At 39.8% G+C, this 17,384-nt stretch overlaps 1 protein-coding gene and 1 non-coding gene across 3 annotated transcripts in view; both read left to right on the top strand.

Annotated features, from left to right (window-relative positions):
• The first annotated feature begins 10,829 nt into the window (after positions 1–10,829).
• LOC124904811 (small nucleolar RNA U13) lies at positions 10,830–10,933 on the top strand. The gene has a single exon (XR_007067407.1). It is a non-coding gene; the product is annotated as a small nucleolar RNA U13 (small nucleolar RNA).
• Positions 10,934–17,293: 6,360 nt separating this feature from the next.
• CFAP107 (cilia and flagella associated protein 107) overlaps positions 17,294–17,384 on the top strand; it is a 17,500-nt gene continuing 17,409 nt past the window's right edge. For both annotated transcript variants that reach the window (NM_152290.4, NM_001330361.2), the window contains exon 1: positions 17,294–17,384. This exon is cut by the window's right edge and continues 251 nt beyond it. The gene's annotated coding sequence lies outside the window, so the exon portion shown is untranslated.

Consider the following 17,384-nt stretch of genomic DNA (forward strand, 5'->3'; position numbering starts at 1 on the left):
TGTAGTATTCTAAATCTTTTGTTGTCATTTCAACAGTGTTCATAGCATTTTCACCCAGAGTAGATTCCATCTCAAGAAACCACGATTTTTGCTTATCTGTAGGAAGCAAATCCTTATCTGGCCAACTTATTCATGAGATTGAAGCAATTCAGTCATATTTTCAGGCTCCACTCCTAATTCTAGTTCTCTTGTTATTTCCACCACATCTGCAGTTACATCTTCCACTGAAGTCATGAACCCCTCAAAGTCATCCATAAGGGTTGGAATCAACTTCTTCCAAACTGTTAATGATGTTATTTTGACCACCTCCCATAAATCATGAATGTTCCTCATGGCATCTGGAATGGTGAATTCTTTTTAGAAGTTTTCCAGTTTACTTTGCTGAGGTCCATAAGAGGACTCACTGTCTATGACAACTATAGCCTTACAAATTGTATTTCTTAAATAATTGGACTTGAAAGTCAAAATACTCCTTGATCCACAGGCTGCAGAAGGGATGTTGTGTCAGCAGGCATGAACACTACTTTAACCTTGTACATCTTCATCAGAGTTCTTGGGTTATCAAGTGTCTTGTAAATAAGCAGTAATATTTTCAAAGAAATCTTTTATTCTGAGCAGTAGGTCTCAACAGTGGGCTTAAAATATCTAGTAAACCATGCTGTAAATAGATGTGCTGGCACCCAGGCTTCTTTGTTCCATTTATAGAGCACAGGGAGGCTAGATTTAGCATAATTTTTCAGGGCCCATTCTTGGAATGGAAATGAGCATTGGCTTCAACTTAAAGTCACCAGCTGCATTAGCTCCTAACAAGAGAGTCAGCCTGTTCTTTGAAGCTTTGAAGGCAGGCATTGACTTCTTCTCTCTAGCTATGAAAGCCCTAGATGGCATCTTCTTCCCATAGAAGGCTGTTTCATCTACAATGAAAATCTTTTGTTTCATGTAATCACCTTCATCAATCATCTTAGCTGAGTCTCCTGGATACCTTGCTGCAGCTTCCCCATCAGCTCTCCTTCACCTTGCACTTTTATGATTATGTTATGGAGACAACTTCTTTCTTTCAACCTCTTGAACCAAACCCTGGCTAGCTTCCTCACTTCCCCCTCAGCCTTCATGGAATGAAAGAGTTAGGCTCTTCCTCTGGATTAGGCTTTGGTTTACAGGAATGCTGTGGCTGGTTTGATCTCCTATTCAGATCATTACATTTTCCTGCATGTCAGCAATAAGGCTGTTTTTCTTTCTTATCTATCATGTTTCTCTGGAGTAGCACTTTTAATTTCCTTCAAGAACATTTCCTTTGCATTCACAAGTTGGGTAACTGGTGTAAATGATAGAGCTTTTGGCCTGTCTCAGCTTTTGACATGCCTTCCTCACTAAGTTTAATCATTTCTAGCTTTTGATTTCAAGTGAGAAATGTGTGACTCTTCCTTTCACCTGAACATTTACAGTTCCTTGTAGGGTTATTAATTAGCCAAATTTCAATATTGTTGAAATCTCAGGGAATAGGGAGGCCCTAAGGGAGGGAGAGAGATGGGAGGGTGTCAGTCAGTGGAGCAGTCAGAACACACAACATTTATTAAGTTCACTGTCTTATATGGGTGTGGTTCGTGGCACCAAAACAATTACAGTAGTAACACCAAGATTACTGACCACAAGCCAGGCATGGTGGTGCATGCTGTGGCCCCAGCCACTCAGGAGGCTGAGTTGGGAGGATTGCTTGAACCCAGGAATTTGAATACAACCTCTGCAACATAGTGAGACACCTGTCTCTAAAATTTTTTTTTTTTTTAATTTAAGAAAGGAAACAAGGCCAGGGGCAGTGGCTCACTCCTGTAATCCCTCCTAATGCTATCCCTCCCCTTGTCCCCCACTCCCCGACAGGCCCTGGTGTGTGATGTTCCCCTCTCTGTGTCCATGTATTCTCATTGTTCAACTCCCACTTGTGAGTGAGAAATGCGGTGTTTGGTTTTCTGTTCCTGTGTTAGTTTGCTCAGAATGATGGTTTCTAGCTTCATCCATGTCCCTGCAAAGGACATGAACTTATCCTCTTTTATGGCTGCATAGTATTCTATGGTGTATATGTGCCACATTTTCTTTATCCAGTCTATCATTGATGGGCATCTGGGTTGGTTCCAAGTCTTTGCTATTGTAAATAGTGCTGCAATAAACATATGTGTCCATGTGTCTTTATAGTAGAATGATTTATAATCCTTTAGGTATATGCCCAGTAATGGGATTGCTGGGTCAAATGGTATTTCTGGTTCTAGATCCTTGAGGAATCGCCACACTGTCTTCCACAATGGTTGAACTAATTTACACTCCCACCAACAGTGTAAAAGTTTTCCTATTTCTCCATATCCTCTCCAGCATCTGTTGTTACTTGACTTTTTAATAATTGCCATTCTAACTGGCATGAGATGGTATCTCATTGTGGTTTTGATTTGCATTTCTCTAATGACCAGTGATGGTGAGCTTTTTTTCATGTTTGTTGGCCACGTAATGTTTTCTTTTGAGAAGTGTCTGTTCATATCCTTCACCCACTTTTTGATGAGGTTGTTTGTTTTTTTCTTGTAAATTTGTTTAAGTTCCTTGTGGAGTGTGGATATTAGACCTTTGTCAGATGGAGAGATTGCAAATTTTTCTCGCATTCTGTAGGTTGCCTGTTCACTCTGATGATCGTTTCTTTTGCTGAGCAGAAGCTCTTTAGTTTAATTAGATCCCATTTGTCAATTTTGGCTTTCGTTGCAATTGCTTTTGGTATTTTAGTCATGAAGTCTTTGCCCATGCCTGTGTCCTGAATGGTATTGCCTAGGTTTTCTTTTAGGGTTTTTATGGTTTTAGGTCTCATGTTTAAGTCTTTAATTCATCTTGAGTTAATTTTTGTATAAGGTGTAAGGAAGGGGTCCAGTTTCAGTTTTCTGCATATGGCTAGCCAGCTTCCCCAACACCATTGATTAAATAGGGAATCCTTTCCCCGTTGCTTGTGTTTGTCAGGTTTGTCAAAGATCAGATGGTTGTAGACATGTGGTGTTATTGCTGAGGCCTCTGTTCTGTTCCATTGGTCTTCATGTCTGTTTTGGTACCAGTATCATGCTGTTTTGGTTATTGTAGCCTTGTAGTATAGTTTGAAGTCAGATAGCATCATGCCTCCAGCTTTGTTCTTTTTGCTTAGGATTGTCTTGGATATATGGGCTCCTTTTTGGTTCCATATGAAATTTAAAGTAGTTTTTTCTAATTCTGTGAAGGAAGTCAATGGTAGCTTGATGGGAATAGCATTGAATCTATACATTACTTGGGGCTGTATGGCCATTTTCACAATATTGATTCTTCCTATCCATGAGCATGGAATGTTTTCTATTTGTTTGTGCCCTCTCTTATTTCCTTGAGCAGTCCTTTGTAGTTCTCCTTGAAAAAATCCTCAGGTCCCTTGTAAGTTGTGTTCCTAGGTATTTTATTCTCTTTGTAGCGATTGTGAATGGGAGTTCACTCATGATTTGAGTCTCTGTTTGTCTATTGTTGGTGTATAGGAATGACTGGGCTTTTGCACATTGATTTTGTATCCTGAGACTTTGCTGAAGTTGCTTATCAGCTTAAGGAGATTTTGGTCTGAGATGATGGGGTTTTCTAATTATACAATTATGTCATCTGCAAACAGAGATAATTTGACTTCCTCTCTTCCTGTTTGAATGCCATTTATTTCTTTCTCTTGCCTGATTGCCCTGGCCAGAACTTCCAATACTATGCTGAATAGGAGTGGTGAGAGGGGGCATCCTTGTCCTGTGTTGGTTTTTTAAAAGGAATACTTCCAGCTTTTGCCCATTCAGTATGATATTGGCTATGGGTTTGTCATAAGTAGCTCATCATTTTGAGATATGTTCCATCAATATCTAGTTTATTGAGTGTTTTTAGCATGAAGAGGTGTTTAATTTTATTGAAGGCCTTTTCTGCATCTAGTGAGATAATTATGTGGTTTTTGTCTTTGGTTCTGTTTATGTGATGGATTATGTTTATTGATTTGCATATGTTGAACCAGTCTTGCATGCCAGGGATGAAGCTGACTTGATCATGGTGGATAAGCTTTTCGATGTGCTGCTGGATTCGGTTTGCCAGTATTTTATTGAGGATTTTCACATCGATGTTCATCAGGGATATTAGTCTGAACTTTTCTTTTTTTGTTGTGTCTCTGCCAGGTTTTGGTATCAGGATGATGCTGGCCTCATAAAATGAGTTAGGGAGGAGTCCCTCTTTTTGTACTGTTTGGAATAGTTTCAGAAGGAATGGTACCAGCTGTTCTTTGTATCTCTGTTAGAATTTGGCTGTGAATCTGTCTGGTCCTGGGCTTTTTTTTTTTTTTTTGGTTGGTAGGCTATTAATTACTGCCTCAATTTCAGAACTTTTTGTTGTTCTATTCAGGGATTTGACTTCTTCCTGGTTTAGTCTTCGGAGGGTGTATGTGTCCAGAATTTATCCTTTTCTTCTAGATTTTCTAGTTTATTTAAGTAGAGGTGTTTATAGTGTTCTCAGATGGTAGTTTGTATTTCTGTGGAATCAGTGGTAATATCTCCTTTATCATTTTTTATTGTATCTGTTTGATTCTTCTCTCTTTCCTTCTTGATTAGTCTGGCTAGCAGTCTACTTTTTTCATCTTTTCAAAAAATCAGCTCCTGGATTCATTGATTTTTTGAAGGGTTTTTTTATGTCTCTATGTCCTTCAGGTCTACTCTGATCTTAGTTATTTCTTGTCTTCTGCTAGCTTTTGAATTTGTTTGCTCTTGCTTCTCTAGTTCTTTTAATTGTGATGTTACAGTGTTGATTTTAGATCTTTCCCCCTTTCTCCTGTGGGCATTTAGTGCTATAAATTTCCCTCTAAACACTGCTTTCAGCTGTGTCCCAGAGATTCTGGTACATTGAGTCTTTGTTTTCATTGGTTTCAATGAACTTATTTATTTCTGCCTTAATTTCATTATTTACCCAGTAGTCATTCAGGAGCAGATTGTTTAGTTTCCATGTAGTTGTGTGGTTTTGAGTGAATTTCTTAATCTTGAGTTCTAATTTGATTGCACTGTGGTCTGAGAGACTGTTTGTTATGATTTCTGTTCTTTTGCATTTGCTGAGGAGTGTTTTACTTCCAATTATATGGTCAATTTTAGAATAAGTGCTATGTGGTGCTGAGAAGAGTGTATATTCTGTTGATTTGGGGTGGAGAGTTCTGTAGATGTCTATTAGGTCTGCCAGAGCTGAGTTCAAGTCCTGAATATCCTTGTTAATTTTCTGTCTCGTTGATCTGTCTAATATTGACAGTGGGGTGTTAAAGTCTCCCACTATTATTGTGTGGGAGTGAGTTTTCACTCAATAGTATATCTAAGAAATTCAGCCTGAGAAAAATAGATTTGCCTTACTCTTTTTAGCTGCTGAATAGTATTCTGTAGTTTGGCAATATTACACTTTTTAGCCATTCCCTACTGTTGGACACATTTGGTCTGTTTTTCAGTTTCTCAATGTGACAAACAAATTTGTAGTGAGCATTTCTGCACACATCTCCTTCTGCACATGTGATTCTCTGTGATAGATCCAAGAACTGTTAGCAGGGTACAACTTAAATGTTGATAAATACTAACAAAATGCTTGTTTCATTTCCTTTTATCATCAGATCTCAGTTGGGAGGGAAGTAGTCACATTGTAACAACCAATCCCTAAAGCAAAAAGAAAACTGATGGGTTTGATAATTGTAGGATGGGAAGTAGTTGGTACGGTATATCTGTATTTTAAAAGGAAAGTTCCTTGACTCAAACCATTAGTGGGTTTTTGCCTCAAATATCCTTGCCTCCATTTAACAAAGCAAAAGTTGTCAGAGTCAGCAAACTGGTTCCTAGTTATGCAGATTGCCAAAGCTTGTTTGGTTCCCTGACAAGAGCACCGCTGCTCCAACATGGCAGCTGGCTGTCTTGCAAATTGCTGTACAAGGTTAAATCAGATAAGGCAGTGCCTGGGGTTCAGTTTCAAAGCATTTCTAGTCATAGTAAAAACACTCAATGCTCTATCTCCATTACTATGAAATAATTCCCTGGCTGTCATCACTAAAGAACCGAGGAGTTTTAATTTTATGTGGAAGAGATAAATTTTGGACTTGTTGCTGCTGCATTCCCAAGGCCCCTCCAGGAGGTAGAATGATGCAGAACACGTGATCTGGAGCCAATCAGAGACCCAACATTTAACCTCCCAGCCCCTCAGTTTTCTTGCCTTGAAATGGGGATCATCATATCTAATGGGTTGTTCATGCTGACTTAATGAAAGTTGTGATTAGGTATATGCTGCTTGTTAGACTCAATTGTAGGGGGTAGGGAGTGCTGTTGACTGGACTCACAGCAAAGCCCTTGGTGGGGTTAAGAAGTTAGTCTTGTATGCAGGAATTCTCTATTCAAAGAGAATCTAGAATGACTTCCCTTGGGATTCTTCTGCCCCAAATTTTCAAATACACTCTGCTAATGAAGGAAAAGGAATAAATTTTGTTACTAGAGTAAACTTGGTTTAGGCACAAAGAGAAGAAAGAATTGACAATTTTTTTGACCTTTTCTATGTGACAAACATTTTACCGGGTGCTTTTAGGTGACATCTCATTGAATCCTCATCATGTTATGAAGCATATAATATGTCTTCCTAATTCATAGGTCAGGAAACCAAGGTTGACATGGCCAGGAAACTTGTTCAAAGTTTCTTGGTAAGTGGTAGAACTGGAATTGGAAGCCAAGTTGGTCTGAGTTCCAAATCCACCACCCTACAACCATTCGGTTCCCATTGCAATAACCTGAAACTGATTTGCCATCTTTAAGAAGTGTTTCTAGGTCATAGTGGATGAGGAGTGAAGAAGTCAATTCATTATTCACTCCTTGAGTCCCACTTTAGACTTTGCATTTCCGGTAAGCCTTCCTACTCCAGTCAGGTTTATAGTCTTCTCCTTCTGGCTTGCATAGCATACTGTAGTTCCTTTATCATAGTTCTGAGCACATTGCATTGTGATTATACAGTGACTGAAAATGTGAATGGGATTGGATTAAAGTGTTCCATAATCCAATCCATATATTGGATTAAAGTGGTGCCCAATTTCTAATGTTCACAGGTGCTTGGAAAAGCAAATGGCAATCATCTCTGGAGGAAGGAAACATTCTAGGCTTTACATTGTTTTTGCAAAGAATTTTTAAGATACCAGCTACGTGAGAAGAAAAGAGCTAGAAGTAAGAACCCACAGAAACAAGAGTAAAAATAAGAAAAGAAAAGAAAAATCCAAATTCTGTAAAAGAGGTCTGCTTACTATGCTGAAGGAGATAAAAATCTAAATTTGAAATTTGAGGAAGTTGAAACTGGTAATTTAAAAGTTCAGAAGGCAAAACGAAATTTAAAAAATTAAAATGGAAAAAATAACATAGCATTAATACACACACACACACACACACACAAACACACACACGTATATATAGGAAACAAATAGAAATTCCAGAACTGAAGAATACAGTAAACAAAATAAAAATTCAACAGATAGACTTGTCAAAAGAAAAACTTCAGCCAAGTTAAACTTAAAGGAGTTTAATTGAGCAGTGAATGATTCACAAATTGGGCAGCCCTCATAATCATAGCAGATTCAGAGAGACTTCAGAGGTGCCTTGTGGTGAGAACAAATTTATAGACAAAAAACAAAAAACAAAAAACGGGGGGGATGTTTCATACAGAAATTGGAGGTGAGGTACAGAAACAGCTGGATTGGTTACAGGTTGGCTTTTGCCTTATTTGAACACAGTTTGAACACTCAGCAGCCTGTGGATGGCTGAAATATGGCTTCTGGGAATGGCCAAGACCCAGCTGTTGTTACAGGTGCATACTCCTACGTTAGGTTTTCAGTCTTGTCTGCCTATTAAGCTAGGTTATGATTTGTCTACAAGGACTCAAACAGAGAAGTACAGAGTCCTCCTCAGGCCATATTTAGTTCGCTTTAACAGGCTTGATTTCACCTTAGACACACCTGAAGAAAAGTTATGTAAACTGGAATCTAGGTCGGAAGAAACTATAAGAAATCAAGCATGAAGAGACAAAAGGATAGAAAATACAGAAGAGGGGACCAGAAGCATTGAGGATTCAGTGATAAGAAAGAACAAATATGTAATTGTTTTCCTAAAAGGAGAGTGGAAAGAAAGGAGGCAGCAGCCATATTTGAACAGATAATAGCTGAGAATTTCCTAAAATGATTGAAAGACATTTACCCATAAATCCAAGAAGCATATTGCAAGCAGTGTAAAGCAATCCACTCCTACCTAGATATATCAGAATAATGCTGCAGGAAACCAAAGATAAAGAGAAAATCTTAAAAACAAAACAAAACAAAATAATCGCCCAGATACCTTAAAAGAATTAATAAACTGACACTTGTTTTCTCAGAAGCAACAATGACAGTCAGGAAACAGTGGAAAAATTTATTCCACGTGTGAAGAAAAGTAACTGCCAAACTTGAATTCTACCATCACCGAAAATATCCTTCAGAATCAAAGTGAAATAAAGATGTTTTCAGATAAATAGAAACTGAGGAAGTTTGCCACTAGCAGAACTCCTTTAAAGGAAATTCTAAAGGGTTCTTCAGGAAAAAGGGAAATGATCACAGATGGGAGGTCAGAGATGCAGAATGGAATAAAAAATAATGCAAATGGCAAATATGTGGGCAAATCTAAGTAAATGCTAACTATAAAATGATAATAATAATAACTCATGTAATGTAAAATATGTAGGAGAGAGAATTAAAGTACATAATAGCATATAGATCTGGAAGGGACCAAATAGAGTTAAATTGTTCTAAGGTCCTTGAGTTTTCTGGGAGGAGGGTAAAAGTATCAACCAAGATTAGACTTTGCTAAGTCATGAGTGCATGGTAATTTCTTTGGTAAACACTAAAGTAATAGAAAATAGTTTAGTCCACTATGGGAGGCAGAAAAATAATAGTTAAGGGAATTTATATCCTTAAAACAACAATTAAGGGAATTTATAGTCTTAAAAGCATATAGAAGAAAGGAATAAAGGCTGAAAATTAATGAACTAAACATCCATCTCAAAAAACTAGAAAACTGATAGTAAAACAAATCCAAAGAAAATATAAGGAAGATAATGAAAAAAATAAAGTTTTTAAAAGTATTTTTTATTTACTTTTATTTTTTAAATTATTTTTTATATCTTTAAAGGAAAATTTCTAAAATAAAACAATCACACAATAGAGATGATCAACCATGCCATGTTTTGGCTCTTGGAAAAGACGGATAAAATTGGTAATATCTGGTGAGACCAATAAAGTAAAAGAGAAAAGCCATAAATAGTAAATATTAGGCATAAAGGGAACTTTAATACAGGCCCTAGAGATATAAAAAGATAATAAGAAGACATTATGAGCAACATATGTCAAAAATTTTGAAAATTTAGGTGCAACGTATAAATTCCTAGAAAAATACAACTTACCAAAACTGGGAAAGGAAACAGAAAACCTACGTAATTTTGTACCTAATAAAGATAGTGAATCTAAAATAGAAAAGCCTTCCAACAAAAACAAGACCAAACAGAAACCTCTTGGCCCAGATGGCTTGATTTATGTAATATTCAAGGAAGAAGTAACACTCAGCCACACACACACACACAAAACCTGATTTAAAAATGAGCAAAGGCAAAGAACTAAAAATAGAATTACAGTTAGACCTAACAATCGCATTACTAAGTATTTACCCAAAGGAAAATAAACCCTTCTACCAAAAAGACACCTATACCTGTATGTGTATTGCGGCACTATTTACAACAGCAAAGACATGGAATCAACCCTGGTGCCCCTCAATGGTGTGGCTTGGATAAAGGAAATGTGGTACAGGCTGGGTGCAGGGGCACACGCCTGTAATCCCAGCACTTTGGGAGGCCAAGGTGGGCAGATCACTTGAGCCTAGGAGCTCGAGACCAGCCTGGGCAACATGATGAAACCTCGTCTCTACCAAAAATACAAAAATTAGCCAGGTGTGGTGGTATGCACCTGCAGTCCCAGCTACTCAGGAGGCTGAGATAGGGGGATTGCTTGAGCCTGGGAAGTTGAGGCTGCAATGAGCTGTGATCATGTCACTGCACTTCAGCCTAAGTGACAGAGTGAGACCCTGTCTCTGAAAAGACAAGAAAAGAAAATTGGTACATATACATTATGGAATACTACACAGCCAGAAAAAGGAATGAAATCATGTACAATGTGGCAACATAGATGCAGCTGGGGGCCATTATCCTAAGTGAATTAATGCAGAAACAGAAAACCAAAAACCACATGTTCTCACTCATAAGTGGGAGCTCAACACTGGGGACACATGGGCACAAACACGGGAACAGTGGACACCAGGGATTCCAAAAGTGGGGAGGGAGAAGGAGGGCAAGCGTTGAAAACTCCCTATTGGGTACTATGTTCACTACTTGGGTGGCAGGATCATTAGAAGCCCAAGCTCTAGGATCTTGCAATACATGCGTGTAAAAACCTGCACATTCACCCCTTGAACCTAAAATAAAAAATGAAGCAAAACAAAACAATGGGCAAAGGACTTGAATAGACATTTCTCTAAAGTAGATCTATAAATGGCCAATGAGCACATGACAAGATGCTCAATACCATTAGTCATTAGGGGAAATTAAATTCACAATGACATACCACTTCACACCCACGAGGCTGGTTATTGTTTAAAAACTGGAAAATAACAAGTGTTGGTGAGGAGGCAGAGAAATGGGAACCCTCGTGCTCTGCTGGTGGGAATGAGAAATGATGCAGATGCTGTGGAAAACAGATGCTTTTGTGGTTCGTGAACCTGATGATTGGGTGTTCATGTATGTGTGTGAGATGTACCACCCTCGAACCTTGTTATGACGTCAGCACATTACCCATCTGACCTGGAAAAAAAAAAGAGAGAAGAAAGCAGTTTTGTGGTGCCAATTTCATCCTAGGTATAAACCCAAAGAACTGAAGGCAGGGATTCAAACAGCTACTTGTATACTAGTGTTCATACCAGGATTATATTTACAAAAGCCAGAAGGTGAAAACACATCAAATGTCCATCACCAGATGAATGGATAAACAATGTGTTAAATACATACAACGGAAATACCATCCAGCCTAAAGAGGAATGCAGTTCTGATACATGCTACAACATAGATGAATCTTGACAACATTATCTCAATGCAAGAAAACTGACACAGGAGGACAAGTATTATATGATTCCACTTATATGAGATACCTAGACCAGGCAAATTCACAGAGACAAAGGAGAAGAGAGAATACCAGGGGTTTAGGAGAAGGGGAGAATGGGGAGTTACAGCTTAATTGGTACAGAGTTTCTGTTTGGGATGCTGAAAAAGTTCCGGAAGGTGTGGAGCAATGGAAACACCCGTACACTCATGGTGGGAATGTAAATTGATACTACTCTCTGGAAAATAATTGGCATTATCTAGTACAGCTGGAGACACATATGCACTCTCTGATGTAGCAATTCCACTCCTACGTATTTATTCTAGAGCAGTGGGTTTCAAAGTGAGACCCACAGATGCTTGGAGGTCCCAAGTCCCTTTCAAGGGGCCTGGAGGGTCAAAACAATTTTCTTTTTTTTCTTTTACTTTTTTTTTTGAGATGGAGTCTCGCTCTTGTTGCCCAGGCTGGAGGCAATGGTGCGATCTCGGCTCACTGCAACCTCCACCTCCCGGGTTCAAGCAATTCTCTTTCCTCAGCCTCCCGAGTAGCTGGGATTACAGGTGCCCGCCACAATGCCTGGCTAATTTTTTGTATTTTTAGTAGAGATGGGCTTTCACTATGTTGGCCAGGCTGGTCTTGAACTCCTGACCTCGTGATCCGCTCGCCTCGGCCTCCCAAAGTGTTGGGATTACAGGTGTGAGCCACCGTGCCCAGCCGACAATTTTCATAATAATACTAACTTGTTATTTGCCCTTTTCTACAGTGCTTTTTTTTTTTTTTTTTTTTTTTGAGACAGAATTTCGCTCTTGTCACCCAGGCTGGAGTACAATGGCACGATCTTGGCTCACTGCAACCTTTACCTCCTGGTTCAAGTGATTCTCCTGCCTCAGCCTCCCAAGTAGCTGAGGAGGCGTGCACCACCACCCTCTGGCTAATTTTTGTATTATGAGTAGATACAGGGTTTCACCATGTTGGCCAGGCTGTTCTCGAACTCCTGACCTCAGGTGATCCACCTGCCTCGGCCTCCCAAAGTGCTGGAATTACAGGTGCGAGCCACTGCGCCTGGTCCACAGTGCTTACTTTGATGGTGCAAAAGCATTTGTGGGTAAAATTGCTGGCACCTGTGAACGAATCAAGGCCGTGCCATTAATTATATTAGTATCCTTTATTCTTCACTGCCACACACTCACAGTTTAAACAAAAAAATTAAGTTCACTTAAGAATGTCCTTTGATGAAGAAGTAACAGTTATTTGATCAAATCTTGACCCTGAGCAAATGCCTTTTTAGCACTCTGTGTGATGAAATGGGAAAGAGATACAAATAAGGCACTGACGTTGCACATCCAAGGGTGAGGGCTGTCTTGAGAAAGAGCATTTGTGTGGATTATTGAGTTGTGACCTGAATTAATTAGCCAGGCTTTTTTTTTTTTTAAATGAAACACCATTTTTACTTGACAGACCATGATTATTCACAGACAAACCATGATTATTTAAATTTGAATTTTTTTTTTTTTTTTTTTTTTTTTTGAGACGGAGTCTCACTCTGTTGCCTAGGCTGGAGCTGTGGTGCGATCTCGGCTCACAGCAAACTTCGCCTCCCAGGTTTGAGCAATTCTCCTGTCTCAGCCTCCCGATGAAATGTTCTCTTGATGTTTCCTTGAAAATGAATGAGGTAAGTCTGTCGCTTCAAGGAAAACAACTGAGATTAATTGTTGCCAATAACAAAATTTTGAGCTTTCAAACTAGAACTAGAATTTTGGAAAGCTTGCGTCCACCGCTGTGAGCTTAACAACTTCCTAATAGTTCAATGCTTTTCTGACCATATCAGTAATGATGTTAGCAAATGTGATTTTTTCTTTTTTGAGACAGGGTCTCACTTTGTTGCCCAGGCTAGAGTGCAGTGGTGCAATCGCTGCTTACTGTAGCCTTGACCTCCTGGGCTCAGGCCATCCTCCTACCTCACTCTCCCAGTAGCTGGGACTACAACTGTGCATCACCACGCCTGGCTAATTTTTGTATTTGTTTGTAAAGATGGAGTTTTGTCATGTTGCCCAGGCTGATCTTGAACTCCTGGGCTCAAGTGATCTGCTCGCCTCAGCCTCCCAAAGTGCTGGTATTACAAGGTGTGAGCCACTGTAACCAGCAGCAAGTGTGCTTTTTAAAAATATTGTATAGTTTGGAAGAGCTACACAGCTTAGTAAAGCAATATTTTCCAGATGACCACCAAAATCACCAATGGGCAAAAAATTTATTCAAATTTTTTGTTTTGGAAAATGGATTTAATCTTTATTAAAAAATTAATTATGTTAACATGAAATGAGTTTTTTTTTGTTATTTGGAAATTAATAAATATATTTTAAATTTCTGTTTTAATTTCTTTCTTTCTTTTTTTGAGACAGGGTCTTTCTCTGTCACCCAGGCTGGAGTGCAGTGGCATGATCGTAGCTCCCTGTAGCCTCAAACTCCTGGGCTCAAGGGATCCTCCCATCTCAGCCTCCTTAGTAGCTGGGACTACAGGCGTGCATTACCACGCCTGGCTATTTTTTGTGTATATATTTTTTTAAGAAATGGAGCTTCACCACGTTGCCCAGGCTGGTCTTGAGCTCCTGGGGCTCAAGTAATTCTCCTGCCTTGGCCTCCCGAAATGCTGGGTTTACACACATGAGCCACTGTGCCCAGACTGTTTTAATTTCTAATATGGTAAACATTGATGAATATAACCAGTAACATGTTGACAAACTCATTTTCTGGGAAAAAAAACCCAGCAGCCTGATATGTAGCCTTTGCCAATTCTGTGGTGTAAATATTCCCACTGCGACTGATGTCAAGCTACCAATGTGACTTCATAGAGCATGGGATTGGGAAGAGATCGAAACTGGCTCTCATGAGCAGGTGCTACCTGGCTCCAGCACCACTAATATAATCCACATTTAAAAAGCCCTCTGAGTCCTCAATAATTTTTATGAGATTAAGAGGTCCCAAGGCCAAAATGCTTAAGACCCACTGCCCTAGAGAAATGGCTATATTTGAGCACCAGGATATACGTATCATGTGATCTGAGAGACCAAAATAGACGCCCCTGTATCAACTAAGACCCTAAGGCTAAGGAAACAAAAGCTACCTACAGGTTGAGGGTTCAGAGCTTGGCTGGCCTGATAATTTTTTTTTTTGAGACAAAGTCTTGTTCTGTCACCCAGGCTGGAGTGCAGTGGCAAGATGATGGCTCACTGCAATCTCTACCTCTTGGGCTTAAGGAATCCTCCCACATCAGCCTCCCGTGTAGCTGGTACCACAGTCATACACCACCACACCTGGCTAATTTTTGTGTATTTTGTAGAGACAGGGTTTCATCATGTGGTCCAGGCTTGTCTCGAACACCTGGGCTCAAGCAATCTACCTGCCTTGGCCTCCCAAAGTGCTGAGATTATAGGCATGAGCCACCGTGCTCGGTCTCAGCATGGCAAATTTCTAATCTTCTGTGGCTATAGGAAAAAAGACCCTTGCTAAACTCCCTAATAATAGGGCCCCTCAGGCTGATTTACAACCTAGGCCACTACAACTCTGATTGGACAGAGGACTGGCCTTACAAACATTCTTTTCTGGCAAGTTATTGCAGACCTAAAGCCAGTTTCAGCCAGCTTATAGAGGCTGTGCACAAACTCTCTTTGTGTCCTATATTTCACCTTTTGACATAAAGAACCAAATTCCACCTCATTTAATATTAAAACCTGGCCCACACTTTGCAAACCGGTATCACCAATAAAGCTGTCCTGCTATTCAGCCACCCTGGTGGTCTTTCGGATGACGATCATGTACAAAACAGTCATAGCAGCCATGTCTATGTGCAACATGGGTGAATCTTAAACACATTAACAATATTGGGGAAAACAAGCTAGACTTGAGTAAATACATACGATAGGATTCCATTTATATGTAGTCCACAAACACGCAAAGCTAAACATTATTGTTTAGGAAAGATGTATGTTACATACATGTTTTTCCATTGTGTATGTGCTCAGTTCCACTCATAAGTATGTATAGCTTCCCCCCAAACCTGCTGAATATATATAAACACAGGCCTTGTGAAGCATGAAACCCAACCTGTCCTTCCTCTCTTGGAAGAGAGAGTACCTCTGATCCATGCTGGAGACTGTCTCTCTGTGCAGTTTGCAAACTGCTATCGCCATTAAAGCTCTTCTTTTTACTATTTAGCCATGCTGGTGGTCTTTCCAATGACTGTCATGTATAAAACAGTCACAGCAACCATGGTTACATGCAAAATGCGTGAATCTTAAAAATATTAACCCCACTGGGGAAATCAGACTCATTGCATACTATAGGATTGAAACTATATGAAAGTCCCCAAACAGGCAAAACTGAACATTATTGTTTAAGAGCATACTTTGGCAGTAAGCATATAAAGAAAAGCAAGGAAGTGATTGCTATAGAAGTCAAGAGAGTGGTTTCCTTTAGGGGAGGAATGGGTTGTGAGTGGGAGGGACATGTGGAGTACTTTGGGCGTGCTGGCGATATTTTATTTCTTGACCAGCTCAGTGTTTTTTGTGGGGTTTTGCTATTCCATAATTCATTTATCTGTACATTTATTTTTAACGTACTTTTTGATATTTGTGTTTTATGCGACAATAAAAGGTTTTGAAAATTGAATTATACCGCGCTAGGTGTGGTGGCTCATGCCTGTAATCCCAGAACTTTGGGAGGCCGAGGCGGGCGGATCACGAGGTCAGGAGATTGAGACCATCCTGGCTAACACGGTGAAACCTCGTCTCTACTAAAAATACAAAAAATTAGCTGGGCGTGGTGGCAGGCGCCTGTAGTCCCAGCTACTTGGGAGGATGAGGCAGGAGAATGGCGTGAACCTGGGAGGCAGAGCTTGCAGTGAGCCGAGATCATCCCACTGCACTCCAGCCTGGGCGACGGAGCGAGACTCTGTCTCAAAAAAAAAAAAAAATTAAATTATACCGAACGCATGCCTCCTCTGCATGTTAATTGGAAGGACACCTCCTCTTCCTAGCTCCAGCCCTGCCCCAACTGTGGTCTCTGCTAAATAAAGGTTTATTCTAACCTGCAGAACATCTTTCATGGTCATTTCCTGCCTCAGGCTTAGTTTCAAGATGGAACACATAGTTTCCTGGAGTTCCTCTATTTTTGTTTGAAGGCCATTGGAAACTTTCTCTGAATTGCCTAGCGAAATCCAGCCTCTTCACTTTTAGCAAGCAATACTATAGCACACAGAGTTTTGTTTAGTTAACCACATGTTATAGGCATCTTTTAAAGTCAGCCTTTAAAACTCTTGCAGAGGATTTCATCATCTGGATGTATTACAGTTTATTGAACAAGCCCTCTGCTGATGGATATCTTGGTGCTTTTTGACTTTTTTTTTTTCCTAATGAATGAGCAAGACAAAGGCCCTTATCTCATTGGACTGAGCTCTGTGGGGATGGTGCCCAGGTCTAATTGCTAATGCATTGCAGCTGTAGCTAAGCACCTGGCATAGAATGGGAAATGATTGTGGAATGAATGAATGAAGACTGAGCAAATGAAGCATATTATACCAGTGTGAGCACAAAGACAGAATTCTTTGTGCAAGCCCCTACAAAGTAGCAGATAGGAAATGAATGGAGCCCACTGGTTTAGGTCTGAACCAGCGTGGATTTAAATCCCATCACAACTGCATGATGTTAGGCAGCTACTTAATCTCTTTGCTTCAGTGTCCTCATCTGTAAAATGGGTATAATAATGGCATCTGCGTCAGAGGGCTGCTGTGAGGATTAAACAGGTGAATAAATGTGCATAAATGTCTTTGCTTGGAGCAAGCACATCAACATTCATTAAATAGTAGCAGACTTTAACTCACCCCAAATGTGAAAGTGTAGCAAGGATGATACTAGTATTGTGGTGAGAACACAGAAACCAGGTTCTTCTGGCGACTGCTTTTGTGGTGTGGTGGTTGGTTTGATTTGTTTCTGTGAGGTCAATTTTGCTTCTGCAGAATCAGCTGTTCTCTTACAGAGAGTATTTATACTCAGAGTCTGTCACCATGGAGACAGTCAACAGTAGAGAATCCAAGATAGATCAACTCTCCCTAAAGGCTGACAGTGAACTCTTGGGGCCGTTTTATTCTCTGAGGTTAGCAAGG

The sequence above is a fragment of the Homo sapiens genome, chromosome 1 (genome assembly GCF_000001405.40).
Source record: "Homo sapiens chromosome 1, GRCh38.p14 Primary Assembly".
In the NCBI taxonomy this organism is placed as follows: domain Eukaryota; kingdom Metazoa; phylum Chordata; class Mammalia; order Primates; family Hominidae; genus Homo; species Homo sapiens.